General features: G+C 48.2%; 1 protein-coding gene across 3 annotated transcripts in view, besides 9 other annotated features; it reads left to right on the top strand.

Moving 5' to 3' along the window:
* Positions 1-15,209, top strand: part of ZFHX3 (zinc finger homeobox 3) — a 1,109,046-nt gene that overhangs the window by 825,401 nt on the left and 268,436 nt on the right. The window contains exon 1 of one of the 3 annotated variants that reach the window (NM_001164766.2): positions 7,509-8,000. The exons of the other annotated variants lie outside the window; for them this stretch is intronic. The gene's annotated coding sequence lies outside the window, so the exon portion shown is untranslated. Of the gene's footprint in view, positions 1-7,508; positions 8,001-15,209 lie in introns of those variants that run through there. 3 annotated transcript variants of the gene reach the window in all.
* Positions 1,457-2,078: an enhancer, noted in NCBI's record as "NANOG-H3K4me1 hESC enhancer chr16:73098351-73098972 (GRCh37/hg19 assembly coordinates)". NCBI's record gives its function as "activates a minimal SCP1, AML or CMV promoter by ChIP-STARR-seq in naive H9 embryonic stem cells {active_cell/tissue: H9 hESC(naive)}" and the evidence as "EXISTENCE:reporter gene assay evidence [ECO:0000049][PMID:30033119]".
* Positions 7,653-7,762: a silencer, noted in NCBI's record as "silent region_7694". NCBI's record gives its function as "represses an Ori minimal core promoter by ATAC-STARR-seq in GM12878 lymphoblastoid cells {active_cell/tissue: GM12878}" and the evidence as "EXISTENCE:reporter gene assay evidence [ECO:0000049][PMID:35858748]".
* Positions 7,843-7,932: a silencer, noted in NCBI's record as "silent region_7693". NCBI's record gives its function as "represses an Ori minimal core promoter by ATAC-STARR-seq in GM12878 lymphoblastoid cells {active_cell/tissue: GM12878}" and the evidence as "EXISTENCE:reporter gene assay evidence [ECO:0000049][PMID:35858748]".
* Positions 8,013-8,232: a silencer, noted in NCBI's record as "silent region_7692". NCBI's record gives its function as "represses an Ori minimal core promoter by ATAC-STARR-seq in GM12878 lymphoblastoid cells {active_cell/tissue: GM12878}" and the evidence as "EXISTENCE:reporter gene assay evidence [ECO:0000049][PMID:35858748]".
* Positions 8,243-8,975: an enhancer, noted in NCBI's record as "H3K27ac hESC enhancer chr16:73091454-73092186 (GRCh37/hg19 assembly coordinates)". NCBI's record gives its function as "activates a minimal SCP1, AML or CMV promoter by ChIP-STARR-seq in naive H9 embryonic stem cells {active_cell/tissue: H9 hESC(naive)}" and the evidence as "EXISTENCE:reporter gene assay evidence [ECO:0000049][PMID:30033119]".
* Positions 8,513-8,912: a silencer, noted in NCBI's record as "silent region_7691". NCBI's record gives its function as "represses an Ori minimal core promoter by ATAC-STARR-seq in GM12878 lymphoblastoid cells {active_cell/tissue: GM12878}" and the evidence as "EXISTENCE:reporter gene assay evidence [ECO:0000049][PMID:35858748]".
* Positions 10,815-11,327: an enhancer, noted in NCBI's record as "H3K27ac-H3K4me1 hESC enhancer chr16:73089102-73089614 (GRCh37/hg19 assembly coordinates)". NCBI's record gives its function as "activates a minimal SCP1, AML or CMV promoter by ChIP-STARR-seq in naive H9 embryonic stem cells {active_cell/tissue: H9 hESC(naive)}" and the evidence as "EXISTENCE:reporter gene assay evidence [ECO:0000049][PMID:30033119]".
* Positions 12,392-12,892: an enhancer, noted in NCBI's record as "NANOG-H3K4me1 hESC enhancer chr16:73087537-73088037 (GRCh37/hg19 assembly coordinates)". NCBI's record gives its function as "activates a minimal SCP1, AML or CMV promoter by ChIP-STARR-seq in naive H9 embryonic stem cells {active_cell/tissue: H9 hESC(naive)}" and the evidence as "EXISTENCE:reporter gene assay evidence [ECO:0000049][PMID:30033119]".
* Positions 12,893-13,393: an enhancer, noted in NCBI's record as "NANOG-H3K4me1 hESC enhancer chr16:73087036-73087536 (GRCh37/hg19 assembly coordinates)". NCBI's record gives its function as "activates a minimal SCP1, AML or CMV promoter by ChIP-STARR-seq in naive H9 embryonic stem cells {active_cell/tissue: H9 hESC(naive)}" and the evidence as "EXISTENCE:reporter gene assay evidence [ECO:0000049][PMID:30033119]".

Genomic DNA, 15,209 nt, shown 5'->3' with positions numbered 1-15,209 from the left:
GCGGCGACTCTGCACTGGCCTAAGCGCCTCAGCCGGTGTCTCCGGGGAGCCGGAGGGCCCGAGGCTTCCTCCCGGGAGTCCAGAGCCCGCAGGAAAAAAAAGGGTCCCGAAATGGAGATGGGTGTGCCGGGCATTAGGGACGCGCACGCTGGCTCCGTGAACTGGGATCAGCATCTCGGGGCAACTGTCGAATTCTCAATGATAAGGTTTTGGGAACGAGAGGCGGGGAGGGAAGGGGCCTGCGCTATACAACATCCAGCGCAGAGGGACGGAAGAGCAGACACGAGAAGGGCGCGTCTCACGCCCGGGCCTGAGGAAACTGGCGTCGAATGTCCCTGCAGCCCGCTGAGCTCTGGAATTAAACAGGGAGGCGGCTGAGAGGGCGCGCCCCGAGTCCACAGGGGACCAGTGCCCTGCCCGCAGCCTTGACACAGGCTGGGCCCTAGGCCACCCCACGGGTAGCCCGGCTAGCCAGAGCCCCAGTCAGTGCGCTCCAGGCCCAGTGTGCGCCGGACTCCTGCCGGCCGTGGGGCCACGCCCTGCCCTGCACTCACCAGCCTTAACCAAGTACGGGCTCCAAATTTCGTGTCATGAGCGCACGGGAAGATCGGATTCGCATTTTTCTCTATTTCTGAGAATGGGAAACCAACGAATCGGAAATTTTTTGCCTTGGAAAAATATCTGTTCGATGTCGTTTGTTGCTTAAATTGTCTTTGGAATTTTTTTTCAACTTTATTTGAAAAAGAGAAAGTTGATGCGCTCCCCAAACCCTGTTTCTCTTTAAACCGTCCCTTTAGACGTGCAGCCGGTTATCGCAGATGTTTTCTGGGGCGAAGAGAGCAAAATGGAATGGGAGGGAGGACGAGGACTGGGAATCTCTCATTTTAAATCCCATTACTGGCTTTGGGGAGACACACACACGCACACACACACACACACACACACACACACACACACACACACCAGGAAAAGCTAGTTCGTCCCCCACTGATTTCCTTCATTTCAAAGATTTCCCTCGCCCCCTTAAATCACAAAATTATGGCGCTAGGTATTCCTCAAGAAAAAAAAAAACCCTCACGTTTATTCAGAATATGTACACGGCATAGGTTCCTTTTTACATTTCTCAGCAAAAAATAAAAGGGATGGGGGTGGTGGGTAAGAGGCACTCAATTCCCTGGCCATTAAATAAGCCATGCCTGCAAGAAATGCAAGCATGGGGTGGGGTGGGGGGATTGTTCAGCCGCGCATCCCTCCGTTATCGCACGCCTGCGTGTCTGCGTGTCAACAATGCACGTGCCACCGTGGGCACCGTCTCCCGGCGCTGGCCCAGGAGGGCTATGTGCAGATGGGAGCCAGGTCTCAGTTGCCCACTCACAGCCCTGCTCCCAAGCCCGCCGCCCGCCCATCGCAGGGTTTCCTTTTTTCCTGGCTCCGGCTGGCAAGCAAGAAGTCTCTACCATTCCCCCAAGTTATGCCCTTGGAAATCCCTAAAGCGAACACAGCCCGACCGAGGGTCTCTTGCCCTCAAGTTGTTCACTTTGTTGCGCTGTGATGAAGTTAGTTCTCTCTCTTCTTCACTCGCCCCAGGCTTTACATGTGGTGCAAACTTCTAGTACCTACCAGGTCACCAAAAGGGAAGTCAGGCGCTAGCCAGCGGTGCAGGCGGTGTGGAACCCGGGAGAGCCACCGGCTCCGCGCCTCCTGCCCCAAGGTTGGATTTCAGATTTCCATTGCAAAGAAGCTGAGGAAACTGGGAATCTGACTCAAACCCTGGAACTGACTAATTGCCCTGCATTTTCACAATGCGCCATGTATTCAAAATGAAGGGCAGGCTTTATCATTTGGAACTCTTTCAAGGATCCGGGCGCTCCAAGTTTGGGGCTCATTCTTTAAAGGTTTTACTTCTGAGAAACAGGAAAAAAGAAAGAATGAAACATACCCACAATCCATGTACTGGAGATGACACTCAAGAGTAGGTTGTGGTCTCTTTTGAATCGGGAGTTCAAAAGAAAAAAAAAAAAGGCTTGTTCCCTCCCCCTTGCCCCAGGGATGAAACCTCTCTAGATTTGAGCGGCCAATTTGGTTTGATTTCCGCGGTTTGGAGGCTCTGGCAGGGTTAGGGGCGGCAGGGCTCAGAAGACAGACCTCAGCTGCCTTCTAGACCAGCTGGTCTGCTCTTGGCCCTGGAAGCAGAAGCTAAAATCGGGGTGATTCACCCTCACCCTGGTAGCTGGAGTGAGAGTCAGGGGAGGGCGTCGCGGAACCTCCCTGGCCGCGCCCCACACTCCCTGTCCGTGTACTTCCCGGCTCATCTCCTTATCTTCTCACCGCACCCCCCACCTGCCTCCTGCCCCCCAGGGATCTAGTTCCCTTTTCTCTCTGTCATTTCGAGCCAGTTTTCTTTTCCCACCAAAAAACTCCTTTTTCTTGGAGTAACTTTCCGAAAGAGCTGTCGTCCTAAATGCCATCCTCGTGGAGTTGGATTTGGGAAGCTCGTTCTCAATTAAAGCGCCTTTTGTGGGCACGGTGCGCATCCCTACAGCCCCCAGAACGTCACCTGGGCGCGGGGACCCTCAACCTGGCGGGCCGGACACTGAACCATAACAAAAGGGGACTTCAGACCCTCTGCTCTTTTCCAGTGAAAAAACCCTAGAAACACATCTGAATTTGGTTTTTGGTTACCTTTCAGGTGTAAAAATTTATTTTGACCAAAGTATTCCCCAGTCCGCCTGAGTTGGGGGAAAGCAAGATCCTGAGAAAGAATACAGGCACAAAGCAAGAAGCTGCATGTAGTGGGCACCACTGTGTACATCCCCTCACGACTGTGGGGACTGTGACAGGAGTCTGAGGGTCTAGCACCAACATTCAAACGGCCTAGTCCTGCCAGGGGGACCCCTGGTTTTCGTAAACGGGGAGGGGGGGTGATTTTTACTCAGACTCAGCTACTCACTGTCTGGCGCATTGAGAGCAAACTTTTGAGATCTGGTGGTTGAGGCTCAGGGCACAGTGGCTTAACCTTAGGGCAGAGCCTTGGATGGAGCGATTCCGGACGCTCAGAAGAAGCGCACCCCGCATCTCTACCAGAAAAGGGAACTGTCCGATTTGTCTGGGGGTCAGGGAGTGGACCGGGGCGATGGGGGTGTCGGATGGATGGAGCCCACGTGCTGCGCCTGGCTGCCACTCTCTAGTTTCTCCCTCCCTATCTCATCTTCTGCCATTTCCAGAGGCAGGAGAAAGGTGATCTCGGACTTGACCCCTAAATCACAGCTGCCGGTGGCTGCACCTCGCTCCAGGATGAGAGCAGCCCCTTCCCCGGGCTCGGGCAGCTTAACCCTTTCCTCCCCGCGCGCGCAGAGGCCGCCGGTGGCGGCGCCTCTGACCCCGGCACTGCGAGCAGCCCGCCTCCTCCGCGCGGCACCTTGGATCCCGTGCAGAGACCACAAAAGGACGAGGCTGCCGGGCGCTGCAAGCCTGGGGCACGGGCCGGCTGGCCCGGAGCGCTGCCGAGGAGCCCGAAGAAGAGCCGGAGTTAGCGGAACGAAGAGGGATGTTTAGATCATGTTAACTACCCAGACAGATGCACTTCGGCATGTCTGCATTTATGGAATCCATATGTTGTGGCAAATGAAAGGACTGCAACACGTACATACAATAGACTTAGAATAACAATACACATTCGAAAAGGGACTCGCACATTCTTCACCCTCCAACCCCTTCCTTAGATCTAGCTCTGGAGTTGTACGGAGAGGCGTCCTTTCAACCTCTCCTGCCTCCACACGGGGTTTTCTTTTTTCTTCCTTTTTTTTTTTTGCTTCTGTGTCCCCAATCTCCCTGCAGAAGAAAACCCAGGGCCCAGAGCTAGGCTTTTTCCAAGTGAGATCTCCTAAGACCCCTTCATCCTCCTTGCCCCTTAAGATGGCCCATTGCCTCTTTAGCCTTTGGACCAAATAATAGCTGCTCACATTGCAACCCCATATTCTGATAATTGCAGGGAAGCAGATTCTTACTCAAATTCACCATTCACATCTTCATCATTAAATCAACCTTTTTATGTTATATTTGCAAAGAAGTGGCTTCAAACAGATCTGGAAACACAAGCCCCCAGTGAGCGAGCACTCACACAGCTCTGCCCAGTACCTGAATTTATGTACACCTTGTATATCTGTGTGCACAGATATATTCACATACTCACACAAATGCAAAGACATCTGAAGTCATTCAAATGTATATTTATGTACCCCTTTATGCATATATTTTTGTGTTTTTATATCTATATCCATTTGAGTGAGAGCTAGAGAAATGTACACAGCAATGCAATATTTAGCCTACATTCCACTTTCCCTCCTAATGTAAATGTCTTAAAAACAGGTTGGTCTAAAATTTTCTGCCCTCTTGCCAGCTAAATGAAAGATTTAGATTCTGAATTTCTTGTTTCCTTTTTTTTTTCTCATTTTGTACGTAAAATAATCCATATAGATGCTGGATTATCGTCTAAGCATTATTCAATCATACAAGCTTGGTACCTCTCCTCCTTATAACGAATTCACTCAGTAAAATTAGCATAAGTATTTACCAGATTAAGCTGACATTTTCCTATATTGTAACATGAAATACATTTATATCCAGAATTTCCTCCAAATAGCTTATACTAAAGGAAATACTGACTTCCTCCGCACCGTTTTATATAAGAAACAAGCTGCAAGTTCACTTCTAGTACTATTTACATTTTAAAAGAAAATAAATACATAGTATTTAAGTGATTTTTCAAGATCTACAAAGAGGAATTTAATTCTACCACATCTTTAAAAAAATAAACAGCTTTATGAAGATTCGTGAAGACAGATAAAAAGGAAGTGAATATATTCCTGAGGGTCTGAACAATTTTCCTTACCTGATGTATTATGGAAAAATTCAGAATTTACCAGTCTTCCTTCAGTCAGCTACATTTTACACTGACCTGCCCTTTGGACTGAAAGGGAAAAAAAAAAGATTAACTGTTGCCATTGAAAAATTTAAAATAATAATCAGAAACCGGACAAACTGAAGGTAAAAATATACAATGGCTACAATAAAGATAAATATTTATTTAATCACAGTAGAGGTTGTGTTTGGACTGTAGGAATGTTTCATCCTTCCCTTAAAAAAAAAAAAAAAAAAAGGCAAGAAAGAAAAAAGCTAGAATCTTTGCAGGCTCCTAGAGAGTTCCCCATTGTCCAGGGCTATCGAGAGCCCAGAATGGCATTAACCTCACAAAAGACACATTGTGCAGGGGACAAAAAAAAGCCCCTTCTTCTACAATAACTTTTAGCTTTTTTATTTTTAGAAAATGACAAAGGTTTTGCAAGCACTGACTGGTGAAACCTGTAGCAAGCCAGGCTGGACTTGGCTTTATTGATCAGCTGTCCTGCATGGAAAAGCAGCCAGAAAAAGTTTGAATGGCAACCCAGATTTGGCTCACAGAGAGGAAACCCCTGATTTTTCTAAATGTATTTTCTTCCCCCGCCCCCCGTAAATAAAATAGCATTATTCCCAGAGTGAATTCAGAAGGATTAGATGAGGTAACCCTGCAAAATCCTAAACCGGTTTTTTTCTCTCTAGTCTTGACTAAGAAGCTGCATGTTCTTAAGAGCATTGGAAAATCTCTCAAAATGAAGAATTACTTTCTAATCAAACAGATTTCCTGATTAATTCCCAAATTCCTTCTAAAATAAATAATCTGGTAGGCTAGGGCAACATTTTTTCCCAAGAAAAATAAGTTTTAGCAAGCTATCTGGTGTTACAGGGTTTACTAATAATGCCTTCAAAAACATAAATGTTGTTTTTACATTTGCAGATTACTTAAAGTGCTGATTGCATTTTATTTTATTCCAGACATTGTAATTTCAATGGTATTAGTTCATATTTAGAACTTACATAAATACAACTTGTCATTTTTAAAAAATCTATTGCAGTAGCAGTGACGCTGAGGCTAGGATTTGAAAGGGGGGGGAAGAGACAGAGAAGAGGGGGGAGAGAGAGAGAGAGAGACAGACAGACACTGACTCTTGTTCTTCCTGCGTTTGTTTGCTTGCTTTTTGGAGGTACCGTGCACCAGCCTAAGTGATGGCTTTGATGTACTGGGAATCGGTACAGTAGTAGGGTCCCTCGCTGCTGTCTTTGATTCCAGGGATCTCCTTTGGGCTCTAGTGGGATGTACCGCTCCTAGTCTTTATCTGAAATCCATCCTCTCATTTCAAGCCCTTTGGCTTCGTGACTGTGCTCCAAACTCTTGGAGGTAGCTGTAAGGCTTTTTTTTTTTTTTTTTTTGGCATTAGGGAAGGGGTATGTAATTTCCCCTTTCTACACCCTAGGCCTTTCCTCTATATTTAAATATATTGGCTTTCTCTCTTATGAATTCAGTCTGAAATTATTTTTCACTGCCTTTATTACATCCCTGCTTTTGATGGCAAAATAGCTTCCTGTGTTTTGAAAACATCTGCTTTCCAGGTTTCACACGAGAAAATTGATTTTACTTTTCTCTTAAGTCCAGAAAGGTAGAAAGTTGGACTTGTTTCCAAGTGCAACTTTTCCTTTTCTTGTCTTTCCTGAAGTTATCCCCTTTCAGTTCTGATTCACTTTCTCCCTTTTATTTCTTCTAATCACCCCTCCTCTCTTCCTCTCTCCTTCTAAAGAACCAGAGAAGACCGATTGCGTCTTATTTCAGAACACAAAATTAACATATATTTTTTGTCTAGTCTATGGTATGTGTTAAAGTTTTCTCCATATTTTCTTCATTCGTCCTCTGATTTGGGGGGAGGTAATTTTCCTTCAGTTAAAAAATCTCAGATTTGCAATTTAAAGTGGTCTCTATTCGAAGTCTCTGCTCTTTCACTTAAACCTTTACTCTAAGCTGTCCCCCTCCACTAATGCCCCCATTCTTTGGAGATGCTCTTTTCCTAGTTAATTTAAACATTGCTGCGTTTGCTTAGAGAGAGAGAGAGAGAGAGAGAGAGAGAGAGAGAGAGAAAGGGGAAAATAATAAGAAAGAAAAGAGAAGGGGGGGAAGAAGAAAGGAAAAAAAAAATCTTAAAAAGATTCTTAGCCAGGTTCCTATTGTTGCTCCTATGCATTCCACTTCTCGGTGTGTGTGTGCGTGTGTGTGTGTGTGTGTGTGTGTGCGCGCGCTCGTGTGTGTGTCGTGTGTGTGTGTGTGTGTGTTTTTAATACATGCATAAACTTTTGGAGCCTCTCTCCCTCTTCTAGGCTCTTCTCCCATCCTCTCTTCCTGCTCTCCTTGCCCTGCTCATCACTTTCCCCTGTTTTTTTTTTTTTTTCCTCCCTTCCTCCCCTCTGCCTCCCTCCACCTCCCCCTTTTCTTTTTTGCTGAATCTTATTGATCCAGAAGGTGGCTAATTAGCCCTTCCCGTCGTGCCTGGGTAATGAAGCACATGCGCACTGAATTAATCACAGCCATTTTTTGCAGGAAACTAATTAGCAGAATAAAGATCCAAAGACTTTTTTTTCTTTTCACTCATCAGCTCCCACTTCCAGCGCGTCCCCTCCGACCGCTGCAGCCGCCACCGCCGCCGCCTCCTCCTCCTCCTCCTCCCGGCCGCAGCCGCCGCCGCCGCCTGCTTTGCATCCCAATTACAGCCTAGAGCCGCTGCCGCCGCCGCCGCCGCTTCTCTTCCGTGGCCCCTGCCCGCTCCGGGGGCTGTAAACTCCCCGCCAACCATGCTGCTCGGCGGCAGCGGCGGCGGCGGCTCCGGCTCCCCGGCTGCGGCCGCCTCCCGCCCCGGGCTCCGCCGAGCGCGCTCCAGCTCCGCCGCCGCCGCCGCCGCCGCCGCCGCCGCCAGCAGCGCGTCCTCCGCCGCCGCCGACCCCCGCCAGCCGCCGCTGCTGCCTTGATGGGCTCCGCGGCCCGAGCGCCTCTTTTCGGGATTAAAAGCGCCGCCAGCTCCCGCCGCCGCCGCCGTCGCCAGCAGCGCCGCTGCAGCCGCCGCCGCCGGAGAAGCAACCGCGTAAGTGGCAACTTTTCCCTCTTTTTTTTTTCCCGCCGCCGCCGCCGCCTGCTCCTCCTCCTCCTCCCGCCGCCACCGCCCGGACGCGGGGCTCCTCGGGGCGCCCGGGCTGCTTTGCATGGGGCTCGTCCTGCCCCCTCCCGGCTCTCGCGCCCGGCCGCCGCCGCCCGCGCTCCCCGCGCCCGCGCCCTGCTCGCTCGCTGCGTCCCGCTCGCCTTCCCCCTACGCCAAACTTTCTCTTTCTCTTCTTCTTCCTCCTCCTCCCGCCGCTGCCGCCGCCGCCGCCGCCGAGCCCGGGCCGCCCCCTCCTCCCCGGCCCCGCGCCGCCGCCGCCGGCCGCCGGCGACCCCCGGGAGGGTGGAGGCGCCCGGGGCGAGGCCCGCGCGGCGAGTTTGGAGGCGCCGCCAGGCAGGGCCGGCCGGGGCGCGGGCCGAGGGCGGGAGGGCGGCCGGGGTACCAGCTCGGAGACAAAGGCGGCGGCCGGCGGTGGGGGGAGTATGGGGGGGTCCGCGGTGCCGAGTGCCCCCGCCCCCGCCGCTCCCGGCCCCCAACTTTGCCCCACCCCGAGAGGCGCCGGGGCCCCGGGCTGAGCAGCCGCGCGGGGCGCGCACCCGGCCCGGAGCAGTCGCCGCGGTCGCAGCCACTGCTGCTGCCGCGGCCGCCACCGCTGGCCGGGCGAGCGCCTTCCGCGCTGGGGCTCGACTTGCCGGCGACGCGGGAGCCCGTTCGGAGCCACGGGGTCCCGGAGGGGGCGAGGCGGCCGCGCGATCCTCTACCTGTGCGCTCTCCGCCCTGCCCCACTGGCAGCGCCGCGAGCGCCCAGAGGGGACTCTGCCCTGGACACTAGGGGCTCCCGGGGGCTCGGGGCTGCGCCGCTGGCCAGGGCCAGACCTCGCCCGGCCGGCCTTCTTCCGCCAGCTGAGCTCAGAGACATCCGAGGATGCCTTTTTTCTTTTTCTTTTCTTTCTTCTTCTTCTTCTTTTTTTTTTTTTTTGCTCTCGCGAATCTGGGATTGTTTACGTTGGGTTCCCCACTCTCACCCCTCGCCCGGCTCCACTCGATGCAAAAACCGTGTTCCTGAATTTTACATTATGCATTTTAATGTCCGTCTTTTTGCATATCTATTGGAGAGTAGATCTAAGTGTATTTCATGCAGTGTATATAATTAAGTTGTGTATGGACTCAGTACTCGGAGGGTTCTTGTATAACTATTGAATTAAAATATGTATATATCACTTTGCGAGTGAAGCTGTTGCTCAGAATCTGACTTTTGTTCAATGTTGTGCTATTCTTTGGACTGTGGCAAATTCTTTGATTACAAGCGCTTTCAAAAGGCACCCAGTCTTAACTTTTCCCCCTTGTTGCTTTCAAGTAGGGTAAATATGACAATTTTTATTGGTCTCAATTATTGAAACTTGATCTAAGCACTGTATGGACGGAGCATGCTGATTGCCTTTTTCTGGCCTCCAGTTCTAGTGACTTTTAAAAGGCAGTTTGTTAAGTACCTTTGAAGAATATGACAGACGGTGATCGCTTGGCTGTAATGCAAATTACAGAACATAAATTCACTTTGGAATTTAAAAAAGACTCGAGCCCTTTCAGTGGGGACAATTGAGGATTTATTATGTTTTTTAAAAAATTACTTTTTTTCCTCCCTACTTTGGGAGAATAGCTAGTTGCAGACCAACTTATTTGGAGGTCCTCCGAAAGAGGCTTGGGCAGTGGGCGAGGGGAGAAGATTGATCACAATCTGCATAATCAATAGGGCAGCGTGCTGCAATCGTGTACCTACATTTACTGTAAATTTCTACAATATCTGCAGCGTGGGTGCTCCAGCGCCTTGCTTGGCTTCTTAGAGAGGATTTAGAGGGAGAACAACCAGAATTTACTGCCCTGCCCTCCGGAACAATATAGGGAAGTCCACTCCATAGTAGCTCATTCTAAAACTCCATTTTGCTGAAGTTGTTTTTTTTTCCAAATCTGTTTACATGTGGGGGTTTCAGGAGCTGAACCCCCAAAGTGTAGACATCCTGTGGGTTGAGGGGAGTGGGGGGTATTCAGGAGACCTAGGGGTTGGGAGTTTGCTTCTTGAATGGGCACTTGGGGGGCCCTCTTCTTATCTTACAATGTTAGGTTTGTTGTTTTTTTTTTAACTAGTGCAGGTATATTAGAGATAGGAAAATAAAAGAGAATATACTAGAGATTGACGCAGTGTCAAAAGTATGAGTTGCTGTGTGTGTATGAGAAGAGAGATAGAATACAGACACAGTCAGTCTTGAAAGCTTGGTGGTAGGTGAATCCATATTTGGAGATGATTTTGAAATAGTCTAGCAAATGGTGTACGAAGAGGATTTCGTAAAAAGTGTACACGGAGTCAGTTTTGAAAAGACTGCGGTTTGGGAAGATGAGGTGTGGGCAGGAAAACCTACTCTAGGCCAGCAGCCTTCCTCTGTCTGTGTGTCTCCCTTCCCCCTCCTCGGGTTTTAGTTTTTAATTACTTAATGCTGAAACGCACAGGGCTTATATAAATATTTGCAAATGCTCTTTCCTATTGATTTCTCTGAATAAACTGCCCTGCTCCGGTCCAGAGAGGAGGCGATTCAGATCTGTGGACTTTTTAAACATACAAAGTCTCTGGAGGAGTGGTGTTCTCTGCGTGTGTGTGTGTGTGTGTGTGTGTGTAGAGTTGTAGGTATGAGGATTTGGGGGGCCCGCAAAGAGAGTTCAGGCTCTCAGTGGTGTGGGCCAAGAAAACTGGGGTGGAGCTGGTCCCATGGCCTGGCAGTCCTGACGTGTGTGTGTGTGTATGTGTGTGTGTGTGTGTGTGTGTGCGCGCGCGCGCGCGCGCGCGTACGTCTGCACCGTGTGGGTGTCTTCACTGGGGGAGTCTGGATGCATATGCACTTACTTCCCCCACCCCTATTAAATATGGAGCAGCTTTTCAGGACTCTGTGACTGCCTTCTCCTCAGGGTCACATTGAGTTTGAATCTGACCCAAGGTGCAGGAATCCTGCAATGGGGAAATAAAAGAATATACAGAACGGGGTCAGGTCAGCTGCTCAGAGGCCAAAACCCCTACAGCTGCTTTGATTTTATTTTTTGGTGTATATTTTAGGCTCCTCCTGCCATTGTACAAATTGTGCCTCCCCCTTTCAGGTGTTTGGTCTGTGGTTTAAAGGCACCAGAGCCTATGCCTGCATAGACATAGGCTCCCAGCAACAACAGAAAACCCACAATACCGAATCCAAAACAAAACCCGGGAGGAGGGGGAGAAAAAAACCCTATTGAGTTCAGGCAAATAAGGTTGGGTCTCTAGATCCGGTTACAAAGCAGCTTTGAATATGCAAGACAGTGCACAAGACCAGTTATTCCAGTTACAACAAACTATTAAAAAAAAAAAGAGAGAGAAAAGAAAAGGCATGTTTAGGTCGTAATTTGTTAGTACAAGGAAAAGAATCCCACATAAAGCTGCCTTTTTTTTTTTTCTCTCCCTTTGCTGGCTTCACACAGAATTCACTCACCCCTTTCCAATTCGTCTGCTGTATAGGTTCTTTTATTAAAATCTTTTGGGTTTAGGAAGATGGCTGCAAGCAACACATTTTCTGTATTTTTTTCCCCTTTATCTTAGAGAGAGAGAGTTGGCAGGGGTTCTGTGGTTTGCAGTTACACAATATGTTATCATGTTTTTAATCACTAAATCATTGCAGTGGTTATAGATTTACAGTCTTGGGGTATTACAGAGAGGAGCAACGGCGGCTATATATATGCCTTTAAATTACACCAATGTAAACTGAGTGCGGCAGCTGTGAATATGGTCGGCAGACATCTATTCCCTCCCCCACCAAGTTCTTTCTCCCTCTGTGATTTTTCTCCCAAATTTCTTGGTTTGCTTAAAATAAGCTACCCCTCTCTTCCCCTGTATTGTCTCTTCGCCACCTCTTCCAAAAAAATTAATTTTCATTTTAGACCTTTAACCCCAGAAAAGCTAGAATTCAAACTCTTGAGCTATAAACTTCGGATGAGAGTATAATAACAATAATAATGAAAAGTGTGGATTTCCTAAAAAAAAAAAAAAAAAAAAAAAAAATCCTCCTGGTTTCCATACCGACCTCCTGTATCGGGATGGAGGGTTGATTGCACGTCAGAAAGTAGGGGGGCGGGTGTGGGGGAGGGGAACCGGGCTGGTGGCGCTCGCCTGCCTGGAACCTCGAATGTCCTGTCCCCTGCGAGCCCACTTTCAGCTTCTGTTTTTCATATTATTATGTAACAGAATCCTTGGCAGCATTAAAAATTCAGTATTACAAGCTGATTGTAATGCTACCTCATTAGACAACACTGTCTGGCCTTGTATTAAGTGAAACGTGGAGCATGGCTTTTAGATTATAAACACCAATAAATATTAAGGATCAGCAGAGGGGGCAGTAGTAACTGGGTTTTGGGCTCCTTCTGGTTTTATCACTCCTCCCCCCAGCCCCCCAGATCATCTTCCCTTCAGCCCCTTTCCTCCCCCCTCCCTCCATGGTAACTGTCATGCGTTTTCTTGTGGGGCTGCTGATGTGTCGACCCTGGTGACATTTTAGGAAGGCTTTTTATAGAGTTTTCTTGTGTACACAAAAGGTTTGGAAGTTTGTTTTGTTTTGATCTGCAGTAAACAGGTCCTTCACTTTGCTGACGTCATTTCCGTTCATATTTGAGTTGTTGATTGTGCTTCTTTGCAGGGCCCTCTTATCCCTACCCCCGCCTTGCCTTTCAGCTCAGAGCCTGTGGCTGCCTGGGGAAGGGGGAGTGTGCTCCTAAGCTGCCAGGTCTGGGTTCAAAGGCTGAGGGTCGCGTGGCTGTGCCTCGTCCTAGGGTTTGCCCGCTGGGGAAGATGCTTCCAGCTTCAAATCTGGTTAAACACTCCGACATCCACTCGCCCTGGTATTTTCATGGCACGCAGTGATTCATCTCAGCTTCCTTTCTTTGTAACACCTCCCCCCACTTTGCCCCTGCCACACCTTGTCTGTGTCTTTAATACATCCTTATTGTCCACTTCTCCATGCCCCCACCCACCGAAAAACCTTGTAATGACGACTCGGAGACTTTGATTCAGTTGCAAATCTGAAGCTGGCATTAGTGGACCTCATGCTGTGAAAAAAAGAAAGTGTTTCAAGGCCTTGCCCCCGCAGCCTCCCCACCACCGCCTTCCATCCCTGTTGGGTTGTTTGTGCATGTGTGTTTCTCCCCGTTTCCTGCCTTTTCGTAGATATAAAGGCCGTTCTGGTGTCACTAAAAATGACTATAGTGTCCAGTGTCTCTTATTTCCATGTGATCTACAATTGGAACCCCCCTCCAAAAAAGAAAAGAAAAGCAGGATGAGGAAAGGAAAGAGGAAAATCTGACTGCATAGGCCCCAAAGGCTTTCCTCTAATAGAATGATGGGTTTTAGGTTAAAAAAAAAATTATTGTTTTGTTCTTTTAGGTTTAGAAATAATAGGGAGAGAGGGAAAAAGCAGTCATTAGGAAGTTCCCTGAGCCGCTTTCCAAGTAAGACGGGTGAAAAATGAACCAGCATTGACACTTGGCTCCATGTGAAAGCCCCTGTCACCTCTCCCCCCTTCCGTGGCCCTGGCCTTTTGTTTCTGGAGAACGGAGCTAAGGTACTTTTTCTCCCAGACCAAAGGCAGCAGGGAAGGAGTCCCCTTGTGTACGCATCGCCTTTAGATGGCCTTCTCATGGTTATTGTCAATGCAGACTTCCCCACACAATTGCTCCGGGGAGACAGAAAAGCAAAAACATTTGTCCTATTTTTTTAACCTCTTTGTTTTAGACTTCTTTTTTTCATCCATTCTTTAAATTTCACAGTTTCTATTTGTCTGCAGAGAGACAAACGAAACAGCATGAAGCACGTTTTTACCGTAGGCCTCACTGGCGATTGGAACAGCCTCAATAGAAATCCAAATTCTAAAACACTGGCTGACTTGGAGGATATGTGAATTTTTCAGCTCGGGGGCTCTGAAGTCAGATTAGCACAGATTTTTGAACCCAAATGCCCTAAAATGAAAAGATAGGAAAATAGGATTCTAGAATTATTTGGGGGAAAGCGTGAAAAAGGTCATCTTTTGTCTATCTTCCTGCCTTGTGCCCCATCCTTAGAAGCTTAATAGGGGAGAACTGCAAACCTCAATGAATTCTTCATTAAAAAAAAAAAATAAACTCCAACCCTGGTTGTTGTACTTTCGATATAGCATTTAATGGATCGTTTTAACTCACGTGTGAAAGTGCTTTTGGTACATACTATGGAATGGATACCGTGTTGGGATTTTTTTTTTTAAATCTACAATTTGTATAAACAGGCAGTATCCCATCGCCCATTTCTTTTCCTCTTCTGTTTCCCTTTTCCTTTCTTCTCCTTCCAACCTGCTTCCCCTCCAAGAATTCAGTGGTTAGCATCAGACCGACTGTAAAGGGATGTGTCAGACGGTGGGAATGGCCTATGAACAAAATAGGAGCCCACCTCTTTTTACTTGGCCCCAAACAAAGCGCCTCTCTCTCCTGTAATGTATGGACCCAGATTGCGATGCTGTCCTTAAGCATCTGTCCGCCTTTTCATTAAAATTCTCAATTTCAAGGTTTAGAAACACAAATGTAAGAATCCCCCTGTGTTTAAAAGTCTTGCATGGCAAATTCCCTTTGCCCTTTCAGAAATAATATTTTTGTTTAAAAAAGAAGGAGCGAGAAAGAGAGAGAGAGCTCTTTACCTAACATGTAAAGCTGTTTTAAGGCAACTTCTGTATTTTGGCTTTCTTAAAACTTGGGGCTTTGTAACTTAAAATTAATTTAGAAAAACTCTCCGAAATCACAGCTTTTAAAAAATGGTTACTCATTTGTATCTTTGTTGTGGGATATCATTGACAGATTTAGCACCTGAGCTGGGGAGGGTGGGTAAGGAAATTAGATAATGTTCCACCTACGATTTGGGGGTAAAAATTAATCTATGGAATTAGCACTGTAGGGATGGATGGAGGCCTTGAGGCTTCAGCAGAAAAATGTGAATCAAAACATCTGTGTGCAGGCCTTGGCACACCAGCTTCCAATGGTTATGAAGGCAAATGTGAGCTGTTCTGAGGAACTTCTGCATTCTGTTCCATACCCAGGAGGGCTCGGCCACCCAGCGGGTACCAGGCCCCTAAATATAACTGCCTCAAAATCATGGGGTGAACTCAGGCC

Source organism: Homo sapiens, chromosome 16 (assembly GCF_000001405.40).
Source record: "Homo sapiens chromosome 16, GRCh38.p14 Primary Assembly".
NCBI classification, from domain to species: Eukaryota; Metazoa; Chordata; class Mammalia; order Primates; family Hominidae; genus Homo; species Homo sapiens.
The sequence above is the reverse complement of the archived record's forward strand: the minus strand, read 5'-3'. Positions and strand labels throughout refer to the sequence as shown.